The sequence below is a fragment of the Homo sapiens genome, chromosome 5 (assembly GCF_000001405.40).
Source record: "Homo sapiens chromosome 5, GRCh38.p14 Primary Assembly".
Classification (NCBI taxonomy): domain Eukaryota; kingdom Metazoa; phylum Chordata; class Mammalia; order Primates; family Hominidae; genus Homo; species Homo sapiens.
This window is the reverse complement of record NC_000005.10, coordinates 126,750,359-126,776,537: the sequence shown is the minus strand read 5'-3', so window position 1 is coordinate 126,776,537 and position 26,179 is coordinate 126,750,359. Positions and strand designations below refer to the sequence as shown.

The 26,179-nt window shown below is 44.5% G+C and overlaps 1 long non-coding RNA gene and 1 pseudogene across 1 annotated transcript, besides 3 other annotated features; both read left to right on the top strand.

Moving 5' to 3' along the window:
* Positions 52–24,575, top strand: LMNB1-DT (LMNB1 divergent transcript). Its single transcript, NR_134485.1, has 4 exons — positions 52–243; positions 14,087–14,173; positions 20,826–21,001; positions 24,117–24,575. It is a non-coding gene; the product is annotated as an LMNB1 divergent transcript (long non-coding RNA).
* Positions 576–625: a silencer, noted in NCBI's record as "silent region_16284". NCBI's record gives its function as "represses an Ori minimal core promoter by ATAC-STARR-seq in GM12878 lymphoblastoid cells {active_cell/tissue: GM12878}" and the evidence as "EXISTENCE:reporter gene assay evidence [ECO:0000049][PMID:35858748]".
* Positions 17,657–17,726: an enhancer, noted in NCBI's record as "active region_23025". NCBI's record gives its function as "activates an Ori minimal core promoter by ATAC-STARR-seq in GM12878 lymphoblastoid cells {active_cell/tissue: GM12878}" and the evidence as "EXISTENCE:reporter gene assay evidence [ECO:0000049][PMID:35858748]".
* RNU6-752P (RNA, U6 small nuclear 752, pseudogene) lies at positions 21,121–21,222 on the top strand (annotated as a pseudogene).
* Positions 22,132–22,298: a silencer, noted in NCBI's record as "fragment chr5:126089932-126090098 (GRCh37/hg19 assembly coordinates)". NCBI's record gives its function as "represses an EF-1alpha promoter that drives an FKBP-Casp9 reporter gene in an ReSE screen in K562 erythroleukemia cells {active_cell/tissue: K562}" and the evidence as "EXISTENCE:reporter gene assay evidence [ECO:0000049][PMID:32094911]".
* Positions 24,576–26,179: the final 1,604 nt, after the last annotated feature.

Below are 26,179 nucleotides of genomic sequence, written 5' to 3'. Positions count from 1 at the left end.
GCTTGCAGGTTCCAAGTACCAGCCTTTATTTTTCTCTCCGGTGGAAAACTGTATCAGGCAACTTCTTTCCATGAAAGTGAGATCTGTGCGTCTTGAAGCCGATAGATTATCACAGAAAAACCAGCAACCCTGATTTTAAATCATTTGCCAACAGTGTTAATGGGCGGTTCCTAATCCGTTTCTTAATTTAAGGGTTTGTAAAATCAAAAAACAGCTCAGAAATGATACGATTAACATATGACGGTGAGTAACTACGAGAGCAAGCTGTTTCATACTCCGTTAAAATCAGGTACATAAAAATCTGAACTTGTGAAAATTTAAGATGAAATAATTTTTTGCTTTTAAAAAGAGGCTCCCAAGATGTCACTGGCAGCTACTTCTATTAGAAAGCACATTCATCCCTTTGAAAAGTTCCTAATTTTTAGCTAACATTTATTGGGACTGAGTGCCAGCACCAGGCTTTTCATGGATTACCCATCCACACAATCTCCGTGTGATGTGGGAAACTGGATTGTTTCTATTTGAAAATTCATCCGGGCGGGCGCGGTGGCTCACGCCTATAATCCCAACACTTTGGGAGGCCGAGTGGGGGAGGATCACCTGAGCTCAGGAGTTCAAGACCAGCCTGACCAACATGGTGAAACCCCGTCTCTACAAAAATACAAAAATTAGCCGGGCATGATGGCGGGTGCCTGTAATCTCAGCTACTTGGAAGGCTGAGGTGGGAGAATCCCTTGAACCCGGAAAGGGGAAGTTGCAGTGAGCCGAGATGGCACCATTACACTCCAGCCTGGGTGACAGGGAGACCCCGTCTCAAAAAAGAAAGAAAGAAACCATCCATTTTATAGATTCACTGTCTGAAGGCTGCTCCGCAGGACTGCGTTTGACAGGTCCCAGGATTCTAATTGACTCGAGTCTGGCCCTTAGCTATACCCTAGATGACCACCTTACCACCTATTAGGAACGCTTCTGTAATTAATGGTTACTTACTTTTAAAATGGCAGAAATGGAGACCAGGATATTCTTTAACTGTTAATCAAGTCATGTACATAAGAATTAGTGAAGAGCACTGGGAGCTGCATATTCATCCCAGATGAATTTTTGGCACTCTGTGAATGATGACATTCTCCTTATTAATGGTTCTATTTCCTGTCCGGTTTCCTAAAATACTTCCTTGCTTTTTGGGGGGTGGGGGGGTGGGGGGGAGGATGGCAGGGAGACGGAGTCTTGCTCTGTCGCCCAGGCTGGAGTGCAATGGCACAATCTCAGCTCACTGCAACTTCCACCTCCCGGGTTCAAGCGATTCTCCTGCCTCAGCCTCCTGAGTAGCTGGGACCAACGCCACCATACCCGGCTAATTTTTTGTATTTTAGTAGAGACTGGGCTTCACCGTGTTGCCCAGGCTGGCCTCGAACTCCTGATCTCAGGCAATCCGCCCGCCTCGGCCTCCCAAAGTGCTAGAATTACAGGCGTGAGCCACCGCGCCTGGCCATGAAATACTTCCTTTCTTAACCTCATTGAGAAATAAAGAATCGAAAAGCTTAGACTTTAAGTATTCAAGTAATCTTAAAGGGAACTTTAAAATCTAAATTACTGATGAGAAAACCGGCCGGGTGTGGTGGCTCAGCCTGTAATCCCAGCACTTTGGGAGGCCGAGGTGGGCAGATCACTTGAGGTCGGGAGTTCCAGACCAGCCTGTCAACATAGTGAAACCCCGCCTCTACTGAAAATACAAAAATTAGCGGGGTGTGGTGGCGCGCGCCTGTAGTCCCAGCTACTCCGGAGGCTGAGGCAGGAGGCAGGAGAATCGCTTGAACCTCAGAGGCAGAGGTTGCAGTGAGCTGAGATTGCGACACTGCCTAGGCGTCAAAGCAAGACCCTATCTGCAAAAAAATAAAAAAAATTTTTTAAAGTTAAATAAAATAAATTACCGATGAGGAAATTAGACCAAAAGAAGGTGAGTGCTGGGTCCCAGGCTGTGGAACCAGGATTGGAATGTAAATCTGCTTGTTCTCACTTGGTTGTGAGACCCTTTCCACTACGACAGGTGATATAGTCAATCCATATGGTTTTATGGTTTTCATTCCTTGCTCCCCTTTACCTGTCTTTTAAAAATACTTGGTTGGGAGGCCGAGGCGGGCGGATCACGAGGTCAAGAGATGGAGACCATCCTGGCCAACATAGTGAAACCCCGTCTCTACTAAAACTACAAAAAAAAAAAAAAAAAAAAATAGCTGGGCGTGGTGGCACGTGCCTGTAGTCCCAGCTACTCGAGAGGCTGAGGCAGGCGAATGGCTTGAACCCGGGAAGCGGAGGTTGTCGTGAGCCGAGATCGCGCCACTGCACTCCAGCCTGGCGACAGAGCGAGACTCCGTCTCAAAAAAAAAAAAAAAAAATTGTCAGTTTTCTTTTAAAATTATTTCCTGTCCATTTTTTAAGTTTTAAGATTATATGTGATTCCAGCAATGATCTCTATTGCTCTCAACCCCATGAAGCTTTGTTTTTTGTTTTTGTTTTTGTTTTTTTTTTGAGACAGAGTTTCGTTCTTCTTGCCCAAGCTGGAGTGCAGTGGCGCGATGTCAGCTCACCACAACCTCCATCTCCTACCTCCTGGAGGGTTCAAGCGATTCTCCTACCTCAGCCTCCCGAGTAGCTGGGATTACAGGCCTGCGCCACCACACCGGGCTAATTTTGTATTTTTAGTAGAGACGAGGTTTCATCATGTTGGTCGGGCTGGTCTCCAACTCCTGACCTCGTGATCCACCAGCCTCAGCCTCCCAAAATGCTGGGATCGTAGGCGTGAGCCACCACGCCCGGCCTGAAGCTTTCTATTGATAGAGTTCCTCAATTTTCAGATTATTTGAAGAGGCTCACATTATACATATCCTATTATATAAAACAACTTTCTTGGAGTCAGACAATTGAGGATGTGCTACTGATAGCTGTATAACTTTAAGAAAATTATTCCGTGATTTCCTTCAAGGAAAATGGAAATGGAGCCGGGCACAGTGGCTCACGCCTGTAATCTCAGCACTTTGGGAGGCTGAGGCGGGCGGATGACGAGGTGAAGAGATCGAGACCATCCTGGCCAACACGGCGAAACCCCGTCTCTACTAAACATACAAAAAAGTTAACTGGGCATGGTGGTGCGCGCCTGTAGTCCCAGCTACTCAGGAGGCTGAGGCAGGAGAATCTCTTGAACCCAGGAGACAGAGGTTGCAGTGAGCCGAGATCGCGTCACTGCACTCCAGCCTGGCGACACAGCGAGACTCCGTCTCAAAAACAAAACAAAACAAAAAAACACATGCCGGGCTCGGTGGCTCATGCCTGTAATCCCAGCACTTTGGGAGGCTAAGGCAGGTGGATCACCTGAGGTCGGGAGTTCGAGACCAGCCTGACCAACATGGAGAAACCCCGTCTCTACTAAAAATACAAAATTAGCTGGGCGTGGTGGCGCATGCCTGTAATCCCAGCTACTTGGGAGGCTGAGGCAGGAGAATCGCTTGAACCTGGGAGGCAGAGGTTATGGTGAGCTGAGATGGCACCATTGCACTCTAGCCTGGGCAACAAGAGCAAAACTGCGTCTCAAAAAAAGAGAAGAAAGAAAAAGAAAATGGGGGCCGGACGCGGTGGCTCACGCCTGTAATCCCAGCACCTTGGGAGGCCGAGGTGGGCAGATCACCTGAGGTCGGGAGTTCGAGACCAGTCTGACCAATATGGAGAAACCCCATCTCTACTAAAAATATAAAATTAGCCGGGCGTGGTGGCACATGCCTGTAATCCCAGCTACTCAGGAGGCTGAGGCAGAAGAATCGCTTAAACCTGGGAGGTGGAGGTTGCAGTGAGCCAAGATCGTGCCATTGCACTCCAGGCTGGGCAACAAGAGCGAAACTCGTCTCATAAAAAAAAAAAAAAAAAAAGAAAGAAAGAAAGAAAAGAAAATGGGAATGGTTTTTACCTTGCACAGGATTTGTAAAGATTTAATAAAACAATATATGCAGTGTGTTAGACATACAACATGTGAAGGCTAAATAGTAACGCTTACTAATAGTAATCATGTGTTTCCATTGAAAATCAAGGAAAAAGAATGGAAAATCTTGAAGCCTTAGAATTAGGTAATTGTGGCCGGGCATAGTGGCTCACCCTTGTAATCCCAGCACTTTGGGAGGACAAGGTGGGTGGATCACTTGAGGCCAGGAGTTTGAGACCAACCTGGCCAACACAGTGAAACTCCATCTCTACTAAAAATACAAAAAATTAGCCAGGCATGGTGGTGGGCACCTGTAATCGCAGCTACTCGGGAGGCTGAGGCAGGAGAATCGTTTGATCCTGGGAGGCAGAGGTTGCAGTGGGCCGAGATAGTGCCATTGTATTCCAGCCTGGGCAACAAGAGTGAAACTCCGTAGCAAAAAAAAAAACAAAAACAAAACACACACACACAAGAATTAGACAATTGTGCACATTTTTGGTCAGCTACTTTACAAAATATACACTTTCCTTATTCTCTAGGTGTTTCCCATACCTAATGCTAAACCTGGATTATGGCCTTCTGTTCTCTCATACTAAGTTAGTCAAGCTCCCTTTATTCAAGTAATTCCTGAAATCTTATCCCTCCAAAGTTTTCCCCAATGAATTAGAAGTAACAAATTTGTAAATTTGGTGACAACACTTCTGCATTTACTAGGATAGTGGTGATTTCAAATATCCTGCCTTTGTTTTTACTATACACCTCCATTTACTTGTCAGGGCACATGTCCTGATTATTGGTTAGACCATATATATCCCCACCAAGTCTCAAAATGCCATGCCATCATTTTCCCTTGTCCATACTCCTCCTACAACTACCTCACTACATGTAAAGAACTTAATTGACATTTGTCCTACTTTATGTATGTCATTTGGATCTGGGACAGAAAAATATATGATACATAAGACATCTGGGGAGAAGGGGCCATACTAGGATGGGGTGAGAAGGAATGGGGAGGAGAGACTGAAAGCTTAGCAGTAACCCACTTTTGTCTTGGGAGAGGGGAGTGACAGCTGGCAGATAAATTGAGTATACATTGCAAACAAATAGGATAGCTAGGACTGCGACACAAAATGAAATAAAAAATTGCTAAATGGTATCTCTTCAATATATGTTTGCTGAATGGATGAATGAAGAAATAACTGAATACATGATCTTCTCCTGGAACAGATTGTTCGACTAAATATATTTTACAAACTTGATACTTTTTCCAGTTATTATAAAAGTGTAGACATCATGTTTTAGAAGGTTGAGTGACTATCCAGAATGTCTTCCAAGTCTGATTTTGATTTTCATGTTAAAAAAAAAAGCTTAGGAGTTTTAAAGTATATTTACCATCTTTAAGAGGATTCAGGTAGCACAGCCACCTGAAGTTTTTATACTGCTCAAACTTGTTTTCCTTTTTTTTTTCTTTATAGGTAGGGGTTTTAAATTCTGAGAGTAAGAACAAAAATTTTAAAATTAAAAAAAAAATAGGGGTGAATGACCGGGAGCAGTGGCTGACGCCTGTAATCCCATGACTTTGGGAGGCCAAGGCGGGCAGATCAACTGAGGTCAGGAGTTCGAGACCAGCCTGGCCAACATGGCGAATCCCCATCTCTACTAAAAATACAAAAATTAGCTGAGTGTGGTGGCAGGTGCCTGTAATCCCAGACACTTAGGAGGCTGAGGCAGGAGAATTGCTTGAACCCGGGAGGCAGAGGTGGTAGTAAGCCGAGATCACGCCATTGTACTCCAGCCTGGGCAATGAAGCAAGACTCCATCTCAAAGAAAAAAGAAATAGGGGTGAAGGAGAGTCAAGTGACAACGAACCACATGGGATTCCCACAAGAATGAGGAATTCATCCTAAAAGGGATAAGAAGAGGCTGAACAAACAAAAACAACATACCATATGTATATCTACTTCATGGAGCTTGAATAAGAGAAACTAGTCTCCTTCAGGCCTAAATGCCCAGAGATTCACATATTTTAGAAAAACTGGCCAGATGCGGTGGCTCACACCTGTAATCCCAGCACTTTGGGAGGCCAAGGTGGGCAGATCACCTGAGGTCAGGAGCTCGAGACCAGCCTGGCCAACATGGTGAAACCCCGTCTCTACTAAAAATATAAAAATTAGCCGGGCATGCTGGTGAGCACCTATAATCCCAGCTAATTGGGAGGCTGAGGCAGGAGCATCACTTGAACCCAGGAGGCAGAGGCTGCAGTGGGGCCGGGATCATGCCACTATACTCAACCTGGGCAACAAGAGCAAAACTCTGTCTCAAAAAAAAAAAAAAAAAAAGTCATATTTATTTGCTCACTCATTAATCCGTGCATTTATTCAACAAACATTTGTTGAACACTTACTACATGCCAAGCAAGGAATGTCTAAGGTACATGATCCCTGCTTGGAGAAGCTCAACGGTCCAGCTATGGGCAGGCAAACATGTATATAATAAATTATGCCTCAAAATGTCAAGTACTAAACAGGCATGAACAAAGCGGTGTAGGCATGTTAAGGATGGAGCAAGTTTCTGTGTGCAGGAGGAGGGAGCAGACAAGATGATCTCTAAGCTGGGCTTCTGAGAATATCAGCCTTCAGGGACTGGCAAAAGGACTCAAAACCTTGTGGAGGGCTGTAAATGGCAACCCACAGCCCCCAGGGAGAATTAGAGGGAAACCCCAGACAGAATCTCTAATTCCTTATGGTGTGCTTTTTATTTCAAACCACACCAAGCAGGAGGTGGTTTAAACTAGGAATTTGTAAAGTGGTAAGAGAAGTGTATTTTAGTCAATAATCTTAACTTAGGTCTGGCTTACACTAGTCAAGAAAAATGGAAAATTGAGAAAATTACCATATAATTTTTAAAAAGCATATAATTTACTTAAGCTGTCATAACAGTTATGCCTTGCCTAAAGGCCGGACGTGGTGGCTCTCACCTGTAATCCCAGCACTTTGGGAGGCCGAGGAGGGTGGATCACGAGGTCAGGAGATTGAGACCATCTTGGCCAACACGGTGAAACCCCATTTTTACTAAAATTACAAAAAACTAGCTGGGCGTGGTGGCGGGTGCCTGTAGTCCCAGCTACTCGGGAGGCTGAGGCAGGAGAATGGCGTGAACCTGGGAGGCAGAGCTTGCAGTGAGCCGAGATCGTGCCACTGCACTCCAGCCTGGGCAACAGAGTGAGACTCCGTCTCAAAAAAAAAAAAAAAAAAAACAACAGTTGTACCTTGCCTAAAGCAAAACAAAAACAGAAAAACCAATGAAGCAAGAAATGCTAGAGTACCTCCTATGTGCAAGACACTCCACTGGATGACTGAATTTTGTTTTGTTTTGTTTCAAATTTGAAAAGAAATGAGATCTTACCATGTTGCCCAGGGTGGTCTCTAACTCCTGGGCTCAGGCAATCCTCCACCTTGGCCTCCCAAAGTGCTGGGATAACAGACATGAGCCACCATGCCTGGCCTAGGAGTTTTTTGTTTTGTTTGTTTGTTTGTTTTTAAGTATAAGATATAGTTCCTTCCTTCAGTGAAGGCACTGTATTGTTTGTGTGTGTGTGTGTGTGTGTGTGTGGAAATAAAATGTTTACATGTGATTAAATAGGGTAAGCAATGATGCCATAAATTATGAAGGCCCAAAGAACTGACATTGATGACAAGTGTCAAATCACTGAAACTGCTAAATTTTTTTTTTTTTTTTAAGACAGAGTTTGGCTCTGTTGCCCAGGCTGGAGTGCAATGGTGCGATCTCCGCTCACTACAAGCTCCGCCTCCCGGGTTCACGCCATTCTCCTGCCTCAGCCTCCCGAGTAGCTGCGACTACAGGCGCCCGCCACCACACCTGGCTAATTTTTTGTGCTTTTTAGTAGAGACGGTGTTTCACCGTGTTAGCCAGGATGGTCTTGATCTCCTGACCTTGTGATCCGCCTGCCTCGGCCTCCCAAAGTGCTGGGATTACAGGCGTGAGCCACCGCGCCCGGCTGAAACTGCTAAAATTTAAAGAAGGAATCACTTCAGTTCAGGACAACATGATAGAACATCCTGCAAGAGGACCATTTGAACTGGACATGGAAGTAGGGGAAGATGCATTCAGTTAATGATTTGAATTACACAAATTAGCTTTATAAGTTTTTCAGGAATAAAACTATCACATAAAATGAGATGACTATCTTTTGTATGAAATATTGTATTTGTGTATGTTGAGAATTTATATTGGTAACTGGGCAAGAATTATCCAGGATTTGGTTGCCCACATACTTGGAATTTAATGCTACAAAATACATTCTGTTAAAGTCTCTGAAAAGAGATGACACTGAAAAGTAAATAGGGACCTCTCCAATTTACATACAGAGTACAGGAGCAACTGAAACTTTTATATACTATTGATGGGAGTGTAAAATAGTACAACCACTTCAGAAATTGTTTGACAGTTCTCCAGCCTGACCAACGTGGTGAAACCCCATCTCTACTAAAATTTAACAACAACAACAACAACAAATTAGCCAGGCATGGTGGCGGGTGCCTGTAATCTCAGCTACTGGGGTGGCTGAGGTAGGAGAATCTCTTTTTTTTTTTTTTTTTTTTTTTTTTTTTGAGACGGAGTCTTGCTCTGTCGCCTAGGCTGGAGTGCAGTGGCGCAATCTCTGCTCACTGCAAGCTCTGCTTCCGGGGTTGACGCCGTTCTCCTGCCTCAGCCTCCCAAGTAGCTGGGACGACAGGTGCCTGCCACCACACCCGGCTAATTTTTTTGTATTTTTAGTAGAGATGGGGTTTCACCGTGTTAGCCAGGATGGTCTCAATCTCCTGACCTCGTGATCCACCCACCTCGGCCTCCCAAAGTGCTCGGATTACAGGCGTGAGCCACCGCGCCCGGCAGGAATCTCTTGAACCCAGGAGGCAGAGGTTGCAGTGAGCCGAGATCATGGTACTGCACTCCAGCCTGGGCAATACAGCCAGACTCAAAAAAGAAAGAGAAAGAAAGAAAGACAGACAGAGAGAAGAGAGAGAAAGAGGGAGGGAAGAAGGAAGGAAGGAAGGAGAAAGAGAGAGAAAGAAAGTTGTTTAACAGTTCTTTATAAAGGTAAAAATGGGTCCTATAGTCCAGCAATTCCACTCCCAAGACAAATGAAAGCATATGTACACTAAAAGACTTGAACAAGAAGTTTATAGTAGCTTTACTCATAGTAGCTGAAGGGGTTCAGAACATGCCACCCCAGAATGTCGCTTTTGGCATATTGATTATTTTGAGCTGAAGCCAATTGGGAATTACAGCAGATGTAGAAAAGACTCTGCCAGGCACAGTGGCTCACGCCTGTAATCCCAGCACTTTGGGAGGCCAAGGGGGGGGGTGTGGATCACCTGAGGTCAGGAGTTCAAGACCAGCCTGGGCAACATGGTGAAACCCCATCTCTACTAAAAATACAAAAATTCGCTTGGCATGGTGGCAGGCACCTGTAATCCCAGCTACTCGGGAGGCTGAGGCAGGAGAACTGCTTGAACCTGGGAGATGGAGGTTGCAATGTGAGATCGCACCACTGCACTCCTGCCTGGGCAGTGGAGTGCGACTCCATCTCAAAGAAAAAGAAAAGAAAGGACATTTATATAAACTCTCAGTCCTAACCACTTCTTCGGTCTGTTTTTTCTTATGAAGCCTCTGGTACAATTAAAAATATTAAGTAAAATTTGTATACTTTTATCCTATTGAAATGTCTCAGGTTGGCCGGACGCGGTGGCTCACGCCTGTAATCCCAGTAATTTGGGAGGCTAAGGCGGGTGGATCACAAGGTCAGGAGTTCAAGACCAGCCTGGCCAACATGGTGAAACCCTGTCTCTACTAAAAATCCACAAATTAGCCGGGTGTGGTGATGGGCGCCTGTAATCCCAGCTACTGAGGAGGCTGAGGCAGAGAAGTGCTTGAACCCGGGAGGCAGAAGTTGCAGTGAGCCAAGATCACGCCACAAAGAAATGTATCAGGTCAGTTTAATTCTCAGGCCCAGCCATAGAAGCTAAGAGTAGGGGAAAGTTTGTACTCCCTACACAGCCAAAACTGAAAAAGATCCAAATGTTCATCAACAGGAGAATAGAAAAATGGATTGTGGTATAAGTACTATTTAGCAATTTTAAAAAAAGGAATGGCAGGTACACCAACCACATGGTTGAATCTCATAAACATTATATTGAGCCATAGAAGCCAGGTAATAAAAAGTACATCTTGTAAGATTTATTTATATAAGTTTAAGAACAAGTAAATCAAATTTATGGTGAAAGAAATCAGAACAGTGATTTCCTACAGGGTTGAGAATTGATTGGAAAGAGTCATTAAGAAACTTTCTGGGCCCAATGTGGTAGCTCACACCTGTAATCCCAGCATTTTGGGAGGCCGAGGTGGGAGGATGGCTTGAGCTCAGGAGTTCAAAATGAGCCTGGGCAATATGGTGAGACCCCCATCTCTATTAAAAAAAAAAAAAAAAGCCAGGAGTGGTGGCTCCCAGGACTTTGGGAGGCCAAGGTGGGTGGATCACCTGAGGTCAGGAGTTGGAGACCAGCCTGGCCAACATGGTGAAATGCCATCTCTACTAAAAATACAAAAATTAGCCGGGCTTGGTGGTGGGCACCTGTAGCCCCAGCTACTCGGGAGGCTGAGGCTGGAGAATCGCTTGAACCCAGGAGGTGGAGGTTGTAGTGAGCTGAGAACAGGCCATAGCACTCCAGCTTTGCCGACAAGAGCGAAACTCCGTCTAAAAAAAAAAAAAAAAAAAAAAAAAATCCTGGGCGCGGTGGCTCACGCCTATAATCTCAGCACTTTGGGAGGCTGAGGCAGGCTGATCACCTGAGGTCGGGAGTTTAAGACCAGCCTGACCAACATGGAGAAGCCCGGTCTCTGCAGAAGTACAAAATTAGCCAGGCATGGTGGAGCATGCCTGTAATCCCAGCTACTCGGGAGGCTGAGGCAGGAGAATAGCTTGAACCTGGGAGGCAGAGGTTGTAGTGGGCCAAGATCATGCCACTGCACTCCAGCCTGGGCAACAAGAGGGAAACTCCGTCTCAAAAATAAAAATAAAAATAAAGGCCGGGTGCGGTGGCTCATGCCTGTAATCACAGCACTTTGGGAGGCCGAGGCAGCCAACATGGTGAAACCCCGTCTCTACTAAAAATACAAAAATTATCTGGGCGTGGTGGCACGCGCCTGTAGTCCCAGCTACTCGAGAGGCTGAGGCAGGAGAATCGCTTGAACCCAGGAGGCAGAGGTTGCAGTGAGCCAAGATCACACCATTGCACTCCAGCCTGGGCAACAAGAGCAAGACTCCGTCTTGGAAAAAAATAAATAAATAAAAAATAAAAGAATAAAAATAAATAAAATGGTTGGTGCAGTAGCTCATGCCTATAATCCCAGCACTTTGGGAGGCCGAGGTGGGCATATCATTTGACATCAGGAGCTCCAGACCAGTCTGGCCAACATGGTAAAACCCCATCCCTACTAAAAAAAATTGGCTGGGTTCAGTGGTTCACGCCTGTAATCTCAGCACTTTGGGAGGCCAAAGTGGGCAGATCACTTGAAATCAGGAGTTCGAGACCAGCCTAACCAACATGGTGAAACTCCGTCTCTACTAAAAATACAAAAATTAGCCGGGTGTGCTTGCGCATGCCTGTAATCCCAGCTACTTGGAAGGCTGAGGCAGGAGAATCACTTGAGCCCAGGAGGCAGAGGTTTCAGTGAGCTGACATCGTGCCACTCCACTCCAGCCTGGGTAACAGAGTGAGTGAGACTCCGTCTCAAAAAAAAAAAAAATAAAAATAAATAAATAAAAATTAAAAAGAAAATAAGAAAATGAAGAAAAAAAGAAACCTTCTGGAACAACAGGAACGTTCTATACCTTGAGTGAAGTCATGGGTACATGGGTACATACAATTACCAAGACATTAAATTGTACACTTAAGATCTGTGGATTTTACTATATGTACAATACATTTTACCATGATAAAAAATGGAAATATTGGGAGGCTGAGGCGGGCAGATCATGAGGTCAGGACTTCACGACCAGCCTGACCAATATGCTGAAACCCCGTCTCTACTAAAAAAAAAATGAGCCGGGCATAGTGGAACGAGCCTGTAGTCCCAGGTACTCGGGAGGCTGAGGCAGGACAATCGCTTGAACCTGGGAGGCAGAGGTTGGAGGTTGCAGTGAGCCAAGATTGCGCCACTGCACTCCAGCCTGGGCGACAGAGCAAGACTCCGTCTCAAAAGAAAAAAAATCAAGAAAGAAAAATAAAATATATTCTGGTCTCCTATACATTAGATTTAAAAATTTATAAGGTATATTTTGAAGCTTTTTTTTGTAAGTAGATAAAGTCTCCACCATATTTGATGCTTAATTCTAAATTTTCTGTGGACTCTTCCCTTTTTACACTCATGCTATAAAACCTGTGTGATTTCTTCAGGAGTCAGAAATTGCATACAATCAGGTTTTTTTAAGCCTATGATTTGATCAGGTTTAAAAGATGTATTTGAGTAACAAAAGCAGGTGTTAAGAGTGAAACAAAACAAAACAAAGCTGAGCGCAGTGGCTCACGCCTGTAATCCCAGCACTTTGGGAGGCCGAGGCGGGCGGATCACGAGGTCAGGAGATCGAGACCATCCTGGCTAACACAATGAAACCCCGTCTCTACTAAAAATACAAAAAATTCTCCGGGCGTGGTGGCGGACGCCTGTAGTCCCAGCTGCTGGGGAGGCTGAGGCAGGAGAACGGCGTGAACCTGGGAGGCAGAGCTTGCAGTGAGCCGAGATTGCCCCACTGCACTCCAGTCTGGGCGACAGAGAGAGACACTGTCTCAAAAAAAAAAAAAAAAAAAAAAAAAAAGAGTGAAACAAGTGACTCAAAGAGGGTTGCTGTCATTTTTGTCTTGGAAAGATTGGAATATGAATAAAGTATTATGAAACAGATCTTTAAAGAGAAAAACATCGGCTGGGTGCATTGGTTTATGCCTGTAATCCCAGCACTTGTGGAGACTGAGGCGGGTGGATGACCTGAGGTCAGGAGTTCAAGATCAGGCTGGCCAATATGGTAAAACCCCGTCTCTTTTTTTTTTTTTTTTTTTTTTTGAGAGAGAGTCTTGCTCTGTTTCCCAGGCTGGAGTGTAGTGGTGCAATCTAGGCTTACTGCAACCTCTGTCTCCTGGGTTCAAGCAATTCTCCTACCTCAGCCTCCTGAGTAGCTGGGATTACAGGCGCCTGCCACCACACCCAGCTAATTTTTGCATTTTTAGTAGGGCTGAGTTTTCATCACGTTGGCCAGGCTGGTCTTGAACTCCTGACCTCAGGCTATCCACCCGCCTCAGCCTCCCAAAGTTTTGGGATTACAGGCGTGAGCCACCGCACCTGGCTGAAACCCTGTCTCTGCTAAAAATACAAAAAGTATCCGGGCTTGCTTGCGCGTGCCTGTAATCCCAGCTACTCAGGAGGCTGAGGCAGGAGAACCGCTTGAACCCAGAAGGTGGAGGTTGCAGTGAGCTGAGACAGCACCACTGCACTCCACCCTGGCCAACAGAGCAAGACTTGGTCTCAAAAAAAAAAAAAAGAAAGAAAGAAAGAAAGAAAAGTTCAAGGCTGGGCGCAGTGGCTCACGCCTGTAATCCCAGCACTTTGGGAGGCTGAGGCGGGTGGATCACGAGGTCAGGAGTTCAAGACCAGCCTGGCCAAGACGGTGAAACCCTGTCTCTACAAAAAATACAAAAATTAGCCTGGCGTGATTGCTGGCGTCTATAATCCCAGCTACTCCAGAGGCTGAGGCAGAGAATTGCTTGAACCCAGAAGCGGAGGTTGCGGTGAGCCGAGATCACGCCACTGCACTCCAGCCTGGGCAACAAGAGCGAAACTCCGTCTCAAAAAAAAAAAAGAAAAGAAAAAAAGAAAAGTTCAGTAGTCACTGTGACATTCATTTGGGAAAATCACCCTGTGGTAACCTGAATCAACTTCTTCATAAGGTTTTCAGGAACCTGTTGTCATTTATAAGAAATTGGTTTCATTTCTCCAATCGTAACTTCTTAGTTACTTTCATTTACTATATACTTCCTTTAACAGATTTAAGTTGGGTTGATCTCAAAGTGAAGGATGGAGAAATGAATTCTCTATTGTCATAAGGAAAAGGGAAGTCATGAAGTTAGAAGGGTGAGTCCATCGTTTTTATTTTTTAAATTACAGTGAATCAAAATATCTGCTTCACTGCAGATGGATTAAGATGCCATTCTTCCTATGAACTACTATAGCAGTCATTTGGAACCCAACATATTGCTTTTTAGTCTACCTTTTCAACTAAATCATGACTCTAAGGCAGCAGAATGTCTCCCTGGGGGACAATGAAATGATGCAATGATGTCATCTTTCTGTCTGCCAGCGCCCATATGTAAGTAGAACCAATATAGGACAATGGAAGATCTAAGTACCCTTATCTTTCACCAGTCTCTTATTCCTCATAATGAATCTACCATATCAAAGAGATACTTGTGCATACTTCCTTTGAGTAAATCACCCTAATGGACGTGAATCAAGAGATACATACTTTTGAAACTTTTCAAAACAATATTTATTTATTTATTTATTTATTTATTTATTTATTGAGACAGAGTCTCGGTCTGTCGCCCAGGCTGGAGTGCAGTGGCGCAATCTCCGCTCACTGCAAGCCCCGCCTCCCGGGCTCATGCCATTCTCCTGCCTCAGCCTCCAGAGTAGCTGGGACCACAGGCGCCTGCCACCACGCCCGGAGAATTTTTTTTGTATTTTTAGTGGAGACGGGGTTTCACCGTGTTAGCCGGGATGGTCTCGATCTCCTGACCTCATGATCCACCCGCCTTGGCCTCCCAAAGTGCTGGTTACAGGCATGAGCCACCGCACCCGGCCAACAATTCTTTATAATAATTACATGTGGAATGTATCCTATTTCCTATTATTTTTGTCTGAAAATAAGAAACTGATTTGTAATGTTTATTTTAGTGAACATATATCTATTCGTGTTAAGATAGTACCAAATATAGTAAATAACATGTAATGTAAGACTTATTCTCTCTAAATACCACCAGACTATTTCAGTTTCAAGTTTACTGTGTCATGTCAAATGCTTCATCAACTGGTCATGACAACTGATGAAGAAACTGGAGGAAATCAACCACTTAATTAAAATGCATACTTTAAATACTGTGTAGTGTGCTAAGCAATGAGAGAGAGAGAGCCATGGATGTAGCAGCTGCATCAAATAGAATCTAGTTAACATTAGACATGTTACTAGAGCTGAAAGATGTTCAGCTAATAAGATACCTGCATCACATATTAATAAGCACAAGATGAATGTGAAGGTTGGGGAATTTGGCAAAAGGAGGTTACAGAATTGCACATTAGGAACAGAATTATTGGGCCAGGCGTGGTGGCTTATGCCTGTAATCCCAGCACTTTGGGAGGCCAAGGCGGGTGGATCATGAGGTCAGGAGATCGAGACCATCCTGACTAACACGGTGAAACCTCATCTCTACTAAAAATACAAAAAATTAGCTGGGCATGGTGGTGGGCGCCTGTGGTCCCAGCTACTCGGGAGGCTGAGGCAGGAGAATGGCATGAACCTGGGAGGCGGAGCTTGCAGTGAGCCAAGATCGTGCCACTGCACTCCAGCCTGGGTGACAGAGCGAGACCCCGTCTCAAAAAAAAAATAATAATAATAAGGAACAGAATTATTGCTCCGTGATAGATCACGGGCAATACACCATTTCACTTCCCTTTGTCTTTTAAAGTCCAAAAATGATCTGAATGTAGGAAAGTTAAGCCATTGAAAATCTGGTTGGGAGGCCAAGGCGGGTGAATCAAGAGGTCAGGAGTTCAAGACCAGCCTGGCCAAGATGGTGAAACACTGTCTGTACTAAAAGTACAAAACTTAGTGGGGCATGGTGGCGGGCACCTGTAATCCCAGCTACTCGGGAGGCTGAGGCAGAGAATTGCTTGAACCTGGGAGGCAGAGGTTGCAGTGAACCAAGATTGCGCCACTGTACTCCAGCCTCGGGGACAGAACGAAACTCCGTCTCAGAAAAAAAAGAAAGAAAGAAAATCGGGCCGGGCGCAGTGGCTCACGCCTGTAATCCCAGCACTTTGAGAGGCCAAGGGGGGGTGGATCACTTGAGGTCAGGAGTTTGAGACCAGCCTGACCAAGGTGGTGAAACCCCATCTCTAATAAAAATACAAAAATTAGCTGGTGGTGGTGGCACACGCCTGTAATCCTAGCTACTCAGGAGGCTGAGGCAGGAGAATTGCTGGAACCCGGGAGGCGGAGGTTGCAGTGAGTTGAGATCGCGCCACTGCACTCCAGCCTGGGGGACAGAGTGAGACTCCGTCTCAGAAAAAAAAAAGAAAATCTGGCTACAGATCTCATTCTGGCCTTTGGACTGGGAGCAATAAAAAGTGTGGAGAATGCTTTGGAGATAGAGTGGGCTAATTTTACCAATCACTAGACAGATAAAACTGGGAGCATTTGAGGGAATAATGAGGTTTTGAGGATCAGGTAAATAAATGTAAGACAGTACAGGACAGCAGGACAGTCAGGCATACCCACGTGAGAATCCTGCTCAGTCACTCCCTTTGTGACCCCTAGCAAGTTACTTAACATCTGCAAACCTTCATTTTTTCATCTGTAAAAAGCAGAGAAAGATCTACCTTATAGGGATGTTGAAAGAATTGAATATGTTAAATGTATGCCAAGGGTATCTGACACAAGGGTAGTACTCAGTAAATATTTATTCCTTTGTCTTCCCCTACAAAAATAGATATTAGGATCCTTGCTTCTCAATTTTGAAAGCAACTATTTAATTTAGCCCATAAGGCATTATACTAAAAATCAGTGCTAGTTACACATTGCATTTTCAAAATGTTAACTGTTTTACCTTGCCATACTCACTAATGTTTATATTGGCATGGAGTCAATATTTACACAAATATTGAATAGCGTATGTAGTGATTGACTTACTATAACTTGATTCAATTTAACAAACTTTCAGTTACTGTTACTATAGTCAGCTCCAGAGAAATTATGAAATGATCAAGACACAGAAACTAACAGGGTGTGCAAGGAAAGACCTGCGTTGTTAGTAACCCAACCTCTCTCCAAACACAAGATGCTGTGGCTTGAGTTTGGATTTCATAGCCAGTTGTATCGTTTTAGTGATTATTTCTTACATACCCTGGAACAGTTTGATTAATTTGAATTGACTTTTGTAATAGAAAGGATAAATCACTTTCAGTTGATGTTGTGAAACTATAAACAGGCGGCCAGGCATGGTGGCTCATGCCTGTAATCCCAGCACTTTGGGAGGCTGAGGCGGGTGGATCACGAGGTCAGGAGATCGAGACCATCCTGGCTAACACGGTGAAACCCCGTCTCTACTAAAAATACAAAAAAATTAGCCAGGCGTGGTGGTGGGCGCCTGTAGTCCCAGCTGATCAGGAGGCTGAGGCAGGAGAATGGTGTGAACCCGGGAGGCGGAGCTTGCAGTGAGCTAAGATCACGCCACTGCACTCTATCCTGGGTGACAGAGTGAGACTCTGTCTCAAAAAAAAAAAAAAAAGAAACTATAAACAGGCACCTAGTTATTGCAAAAAAATGGAAGAAGATAAGATCTATTTTTCTTAGATACACATAATATTTTAATCTACATTTTCCCTTTGTATGTCCCTACACCACATCCACATTCTGAAGACAAAAAAAAAAATGCGTGCTTTCTACGTGACCACAAGACCAACCACTACTGCCTGCTAGACAGAAAAAGGGTGGCATTAAGTGTGCAGCCATCTGCTTGTCACTGGCTCCTGGTGAGGCAAGAAAAGCTAATTAGCACCCTCACCCCACCCCCACTCTCGCCTCCATGCCCCACCATCTGGCTGGTCACCCCTTTGCCGCCAGTGCCAGTTTCTTTCTGCACCCTCTGGCTTGAGGAGGCCAGAGACATTTGCCTTCTTAGGAAGCGGCAAGAACAGGCTTCAGCAGCACCTTAAGTCATGAATTTCTAAAACTCAAACGAGATTACACAAATTACTTCCTCTCTCCATCAGCAATGCTCTCTCCTTCACTGATCCCTGTTATCTTACCTAAAACATCTTTTCCTCTCTATCCAGGAAAATAGCTCTGGAATCCAGTCCATTTTGTAATTGACAGTTGTCTAATGATCAACAGGTATCTAATTCCTATACTGAGTCTCTCTCATCAATTTTATTTAAGGATTTGGGGGCAGAAATTAGATGCCAAATTATTCAGTAAATGTAGGGTATTTCACCATAAAGCCACAGGAAATGGTGAAAGGGGACATTTAATTGAAACAGTAGTGACAGCTCAAATCCCTCACTCATTAAAGAGATGTAGAATAAATAGGACATCAGCAAAGCAGACTAAGATTTTGAGATTTCACAGAATAAGCAGCGAACTTTCTAATGAGTAAACAAATATAGACTAGCTATCACCAGACAAGAAATATGATTCTCCTATTTGCCTGAGAAATAATGCTATCTGGACAAACTGATGTTTGTTTCACTAAAAAAAAAAAAAAAAAAAAAAAAAATCTCTTGCTAACCTAGGATTCAGTTTTTTTAAAAAAACACATTGTTTTTTCCCTATACTTCTTTCTTGTTCTGACTTCTTTCTTCTCTTTTTCTAACTTGTAGTAATACAAGCCACTCACTTTTAAAAACTTAACAGTGCCAGCTTAAAAAAGGAAAGGCAATAGGAAAATAGAAAATAAACTTTGAAAATTTCAAAACTGTAAATATTGGCTTAGAATATGAATCCGATTAGAATCTTAGAGATAAGCTGTAGCTAAGCTTACTATGAAAAGACTTGCTCCACAGTTGTATTCAAAAGCAACAATGTAAACTTGGAAAAGAAGACAAACTATAAAAAACTATGGGGTTTTGATGCCAGAATTTTTACCTCGCTATAATAACTTGGTAGAATAAATTGTCCAAGTGTATCTTTTTAATAACAGAAGGAAAGGGAAGCAAACCAACTTTAGTTTAGAATAGTTTTCTAAGTTAGATGAAATAATGCTGTGACCCAGATCTGAACAGAACACCAGATGCTTCCTACCTACAGGAGACATTTGCAAATTTTTTGGTTGCTCACCCTCTGAACTGTCTTCCTACGTTTGAGGAATTCCTCACCATTTGAGTCTTAGTAAGAAACAGGGTCCTGCTCCCACTCTAGATGCTAAAAAGCCATCCACCCATGTCAGCCAACTATTTCTTTTGCAGGCCTAGGTGTCGCCAATCAGGTGTACCAGCTCCAGATTTTTTTTTTTATACAGGATCTCGCTCTGTCGCCCAGGCAGGAAAGTGCAGTGGCATGATGTTGGCTCACTGCAACCTCCGCACCACCACATCCAGCTATTTTTTCGTAGAGACAAAAAATGTTGCCCAGGCTGGCCTCAAACTCCTGAGTTCAAGCAATCCAGCTGCCTCGGCCTCCCAGAGTGCTAGGATTACAGGTGTGAGCCACCATGCCTAGCTCCAGAATTTTGACTTTGGAGCCAGTCAGTCAAAGCAATGGAAGAAAGGCGCATCCATTCTGGTAGCCACACCCAGTTTCAAAAGGCAGTCAGGGCTGGATGCTGTGGCTCACGCCTGTAATCCTAAAACTTTGGGAGGCCAAGGTGAGCAAGTCACTTGAGGTCAGGAGTTCGAGACCAGCCCAGCCAATATGGTGAAACCATGTCTCTACTAAAAGTACAAAAATTAGCTAGACTTGGTGGTGCACGCCTGTAATCCCAGCTACTTGGGAGGCTAAATCACGAGAATTGCTTGAACCTGTGAGGCCCAAGTTGCAGTGAGTGGAGATCACACCACTGCACTCCAGCCTGGGTGACAGAGCAAGACTCCATTTCTGGAAAAAAAAAAAAAAAAAAAGGCAGCGGGGACGACAGCACGATCCTACGTGCTGGTGAGTGTGGCAGCTGTAGACTCTCCTCCTTCTTGGCAGCAGCAATGACCTGCTCAGACACATCCTGGGACCCCGGTATGTAGCCTCCTTTGACCTTGGACTTCTTGCCCTCCCGTGATTCTGTGAGCTACCCAAAATGTTTTCAGTACTGTCCTTTTCTGCTTATGCCAGAATCAACTTCTGTTACTGATTCTAAAGAACCCTAAGGGACACAGAGCCTCTGGAATAGTGACTTAGAATAAAAAAAGAGAGGCTGGGTGCGGTGGCTCACGCCTGTAATCCCAGCACTTTGGGAGGCCGAGACAGGCGGATCACGAGGTCAGCAGATCCAGACCATCCTGGCTAACACGGTGAAACCCCGTCTCCACTAAAAATACAAAAAATTAGCCGGGTGTGGTGGCGGATGCCTGTAGTCCCAGCTACTCGGGAGGCTGAGGCAGGAGAATGGCGTGAACCCGGGAGGCTGAGCTTGTAGTGAGCCGAGATGGTGCCACTGCACTCCAGCCTGGGCGACAGAGCAAGACTCCGTCTCAAAAAAAAAAAAAAAAGAATTAAAAAGAGAGAGGAACCAGGGCACGAAATATAGTTTCTTATAAGCTGTATACTACTCACAAAAGACATCTAATTGAAGATAAGATCATTAATTTATGTGTATATTTTTCCTTAGTGTAAGCCAGGGAGGTGTGTCCAGGAGGACACACGGGGGAGTGGGGAGGCTGCAGAGGACAGGTGGGAGGGGCGGCAGGAGAGAGAAGGGGCCCCGGGGGGAGAGGTGGCTTTCACTGGCAGTTGGGAAATAGTGAAGGGAAACCTCATCCCTTTATCGAGGTCTAGGCCCCAAAACTCTTTTGCAAAATGCAGGGCTTGTATCTGAAGGCCTCTGGCCAATGTGCCTGCTGCCATTTCCTCTGTCCCTGAGGTCTCCAGAAGAGAAAGGAGCTCCAGCCTTGCATTCTTTGGGTGTGGAGAGGAGCAGAGCAGAATGGAGCCTGCAGGTCATGCCAGGAGTCACCGCAAGGCTGTGGCTGTCAGCTCAGGTACCAAGCTCAGGCACGCGGTTGTAAGAACACCTGGGGTGGAAAGCCATGTGCAGAGGATGATGATATTAAACAACCTCTTTTACAAACAAAACTCTTTTAGTCTAAGCCTAATTATAGTGCTCCCTTTGGCTGTACATACACTAAAATTGGAATGATACAGAGATTAGCATGGTCCCTGTGCAAGTATAATGCAAATCTGTGAAGCTTCCATTAAAAAAAAAAAACTGGAGGCCGGGCGCAGTGGCTCATGCTTGTAATCCCAGCACTTTGAGAGGCCGAAGTGGGCGGATCATGAGGTCAAGAGATCGAGACCATCCTGGCCAACATTGTGAAGCCCCATCTCTACTAAAAATACAAAAATTAGCTGGGCGTGATGGCTCACACCTGTAGTCCCAGCTACTCAGGAGGCCGAGGCAGGAGAATCGTTTGAACCCAGGAGGCGGAGGATGCAGTGAGCCGAGATTGTGCCACTGCATTCCAGCCTGGCTACAGAGCGAGACTCCGTCTCGGAAAAAAAAAAAAAAGGGGGAAGAAAATACAGCCTGGACATATATCAAGGCCTTCTCTCTAGAAAAATAAAAATAAATATAAAAATTAGCCAGGCGTGATGACTTTCACCTGTACTTCCAGCTGAGGCTGAGGTAAGTTGGAGGATGGCTTGACCCTGGGAGGTCGAGGCTGCAGTGAGCCTTGAAGCCATGATTGCACCATTGCACTCCAGCCTGAGTGACACAGCGAGATCCCATCTCAAAAAAAAAAAAAAAAAAAAAAAAGGCCTAGTTATAATAGAGCAATATTCTTAAGTGTTTTGTTTGGTGTGATGAAAAAGTTTGGAAATAGTGCTAATGGTTGCACAACATCATAAATGTAAGTAGTGGCACTGAATTGTACACTTAAAAACGGTGAAGATGGCAAGTTTTGTTGCATATATTTTACCATAATTTTTATTTTTCACAATTTTTAAAAATTAATAATTTTATATACCAAAACCCATTGAACTATACACTTTAAGTAGATAAATTTTATAATATGTGAGTTATGTCTCAACAAAGCTGTTTTCGCTTTTATTTTTTTGAGACAGAGTCTGGCTCTGTTGCCCAGGCTGGAGTGCAGTGGAGTGATCTTGGATCACTGCAACCTCTGCCTCCCAGGTTCAAGAGATTCTCCCGCCTCAGCCTCCCAAGTAGCTGCTATAACAGGCATGCACCACGCCCAGCTAATTTTTGTGTTTTATTTATTTATTTATTTTGAGTTGGAGTTTTGCTCTTGTTGCCCAGGCTGGAGTGCAATGGTGCAATCTCAGCTCACTGCAACTTCCGCCTCCTGGGTTCAAGCGATTCTCCTGCCTCAGCCTCCCAAGTAGCTGGGATTACAGATGTGCCACTGTGCCCAGCTAATTTTGTATTTTTAGTAGAGATGGGGTTTCTCCACGTAAGTCAGGCTGGTCTCCAACTCCCGACCTCAGGTGATCTGCCCACCTCAGCCTCCCACAGCACCCAGCCTTAATTAATTTTTTTTTTTTTTTTTTTTGAGACGGAGTCTCTTTCTGTCGCCCAGGCTGGAGTGCAGTGGCACGATCTCGGCTCACTGCAAGCTCCGCCTCCCGGGTTCACGCCATTCTCCTGCCTCAGCCTCCCGAGTAGCTGGGACTACAGGTGCCCGCCACCACACCTGGCTAATTTTTTTGTATTTTTAGTAGAGATGGGGTTTCGCCATGTTCTCCAGGATGGTCTCGATCTCCTGATCTTGCGATCTGCCCTGCCTCAGCCTCCCAAAGTGCTGGGATTACAGGTGTGAGCCACCATGTCCAGCCTAATTTTTTTTTTAAGGCTGAATAATAGAATGTTAGGAAAGAGCATGTCAGTTAATGTGATGATCACTGTATATAGAAAATAAGCAAAACTTGCCTTTAGCTGTAATACATGATTATAACATTAAAGTCTATGTGTGGTTGGCAATGCACTGCCCCCAGTGCTCTCTGAGAATCTCCTGATGTGTCCTCAGGAGTGGATGCTTCTCAGCCTTGTTTCTGCTGTGTGGTTCTATCCTATCATATTATCATCGCTCACTGGCCCAGAGGTGACCCCGAGCAAAGAAGGAGCAATTAGCTTCTCTTTTCCAGGAAGTAGACATTTTGATGAAGAAGCGCTTGAGGCAGCACTCTAAGGAGAAGGTCTCTGCATGAGTGCATGCTCACAGAGTTCTCCAGATGTGCCCTGGCTTCTGTCCCCTTGAGGCCTGGTCTCCCACTCTTCCTCGGATTCAGGGTTGCTCTGGTATTCTAGTAGTGCCTCTACCCCCTTGTGTTTTTGTTTTTTGCTTAAGCTGTTTTAGTTTTTAGTCCCTTGTGACCAGAGAATATTTAATTTAATATAATACAGCACAAATATTTAATATGATATTATTTCAGTGCTAACACAGAATTTCTGGCTTATGGTAAAATAAAGATCATACGGTCATCTGCCACTTCCCACTGTCCTTTCTGAAGTACAAGAACTCCAAACAGCTACAGCTGATGTGTTTTTTTTGTTTGTTTGTTTTTTAATTATTACACTTTAAGTTTTAGGGTACATGTGCACAACGTGCACGTTAGTTACATATGTATACATGTGCCATGCTGGTGCGCTGCACCCATTAACTCGTCATTTAGCATTAGGTGTATCTCCTAATGCTATCCCTCCCCCCTCCCCCCACCCCACAACAGTCCCCAGAGTGTGATGTTCCCCTTCCTGTGTCCATGTGTTCTCACTGTTCAATTCCCACCTATGAGTGAGAACATGCGGTGTTTGGTTTTTTGTCCTTGCGATAGTTTACTGAGAATGATGATTTCCAATTTCATTCATGTCCCTACAAAGGACATGAACTCATCATTTTTTATGGCTGCATAGTATTCCATGGTGTATATGTGCCACATTTTCTTAAAGCTGATGTGTTTTAAATTATTTGAAGGTAAGTTAACACAATGTTTTAGAAAATCACTTAAGGACTCTGGGGGAAATATGAGGTCTGTTAACTTAAATGTTTTTTTTTTTTGTCCTGGGTAGTTTTTGTGGGGTTTTTTTGTTTTTTGTTTTTTTGTTTTTAAGTAAAAATACGTTATACTTCCTTTCAGAATTCCATCATCACTTGGGAGATTTCTGCGAATCATCACTAAAGCCATTCACTTTCTCATAACTAAACAAGAATCTTCTTCTGGAGTTAAGTATCAGATATGAATGTTCTCACTGACCTCAGGAAGCAAAAGTCCTAAATCATTATATGGCAGTGAAGGTACAAAAAAAAAAAAAAATCAGCAGGAAATAAAGCGGAACTGCTGCCAACACATACAAGCTGCAGTAGCACCCACAAAATGTGTAGTATCTATTCTAACACATTCATTGGACTGATTACATTGGCTCATAGACTTGGTTAACTCTGGAAGAACATAATAGGTGTTTATTGTTTACTATGGGGATGGGAAACATAATTAAGTCTATAGTCTCCAATTCTTCTCAAGTTCAAATGAAACCAACACTTTTGGTTTTGTCTTAACATTCAGGATGTGTTTCTAATTAAACTGAAATCACAGTAAGCACCTCCACTTTCTTTCTTGGGATCTCTATCATGAAAATTAATTGTGTGATTTTCCCCTCCCACCCAACCCCGCTTCTTCTGGAAAAAGCTATATTTACACTTGCTATACCTGAAAATCCCCATTTGGGGCAGAGTAGGCATTATGGCATTTGTCTGATCTCTGGTGTGCCCAAAAAGAAATCGCCTGAAACTGGGGGCATATTAAGAATGCAAATGGTGATTTGGGTTAGAGTTCCAACCTGTAGCTAACTAGAACATCCTTTCATTGACTTCTACTCTCTCAATTAGTGTTTTGTTTTTTTTTTTGGTTTTTTTTTTTTGAGACGGAGTCTTGCTCTGCCGGCAGGCTGGAGTGATGCAGCACGATCTTGGCTCACTGCAACCTCCGACTTCCTGGTTCAAGTGATTCTCCTGCCTCAGCCTCCCAAGTAGCTGGGATTACAGGCACGTGCCACCACGCCCAGATAATTTTTGTATTTTTAGCAGAGACAGGGTTTCACTATGTTGGCCAGGATTGTCTTGAACTCCTGACCTCGTGATCCGCCTGCCTTGAGCCTCTCAAAGTGCTGGGATTATAGGTGTGAGCCACTGCGCCCGGCCTTTTTTTTTTTTTTTTTTTTTTTTGAGATGGAGTCTCGCTCTGTTGCCCAGGCTGGAGTGCAGTGGCTTGATCTCGGCTCACTGCAACCTCCAACTCCCGAGTTCAAGCAATTATCTTGCCTCAACCTCTCCAGTAGCTGGGATTACATGTGCCTGCCACAGGGTTTCACCATGTTGGACCAGGTTGGTCTCGAACTCCTGGCCTCAGATTATCTGCCCGCCTCGGTCTCCCAAAGTGCTGGGATTACAAGCATGAGTCACTGGGCCTGGCCTAGTGTTCTTTATCACTCAAATAATTGTTAGACGATCTTAAGAGAACTCCTAGTCCTACGTTTTTGTGAGGATGTCTTATAAGACCACACATTTCCTGGTCTAAATGCAAATTTCAAACATCTCTTAGAGGTTTTTTCGTTAAGTTCAGTGAGTGAGTCTTATTGTTACCTACAGGTAGTTGGATAGGCAGGAGCCAGACAGGAGAGGGCTCTCCCCCACCCACTAAGCCTATCAGCAATTACGGCATTGCCTCTCCGAGTGCGATAATTCGGCAGCGCCAGGGAAAAGGCATTTCCTGAGGGTCCACACCTGTTAATATGAAATGTTAATTGAATGCAAGCCTCAGGGAGAAGAAACTTCCTGGGCATGCATATTAAGAGGCAAAAATGGCGAATTATGATCTTCCAGGTAAACTCCACCGGCAAAAGGAAGAAAGCCTCAGATAGGCATGCTTATGACTCCCTAAACACACTGCGCTGTGCTCAATTCCAAAGGGTAAGGAGGGCACTGTGCAGGCGGGCAGCCCACCCTAAGGGAAGAATCATGGGAAAGAGGTGAGCTTATACAAGTCCTAGTATCACCGGGCGCGGTGGTTCATGCCTGTAATCACACCGCTGCACTCCAGCCTGGTGACAGAGGGAGACTCCGTCTCAAAAAAAAAGTCCTAGTATCACAGTTAAATGGGGCACTTGACTCTCCCTTTTTGTTCTTTGGGTCTCTTCCAAGTGT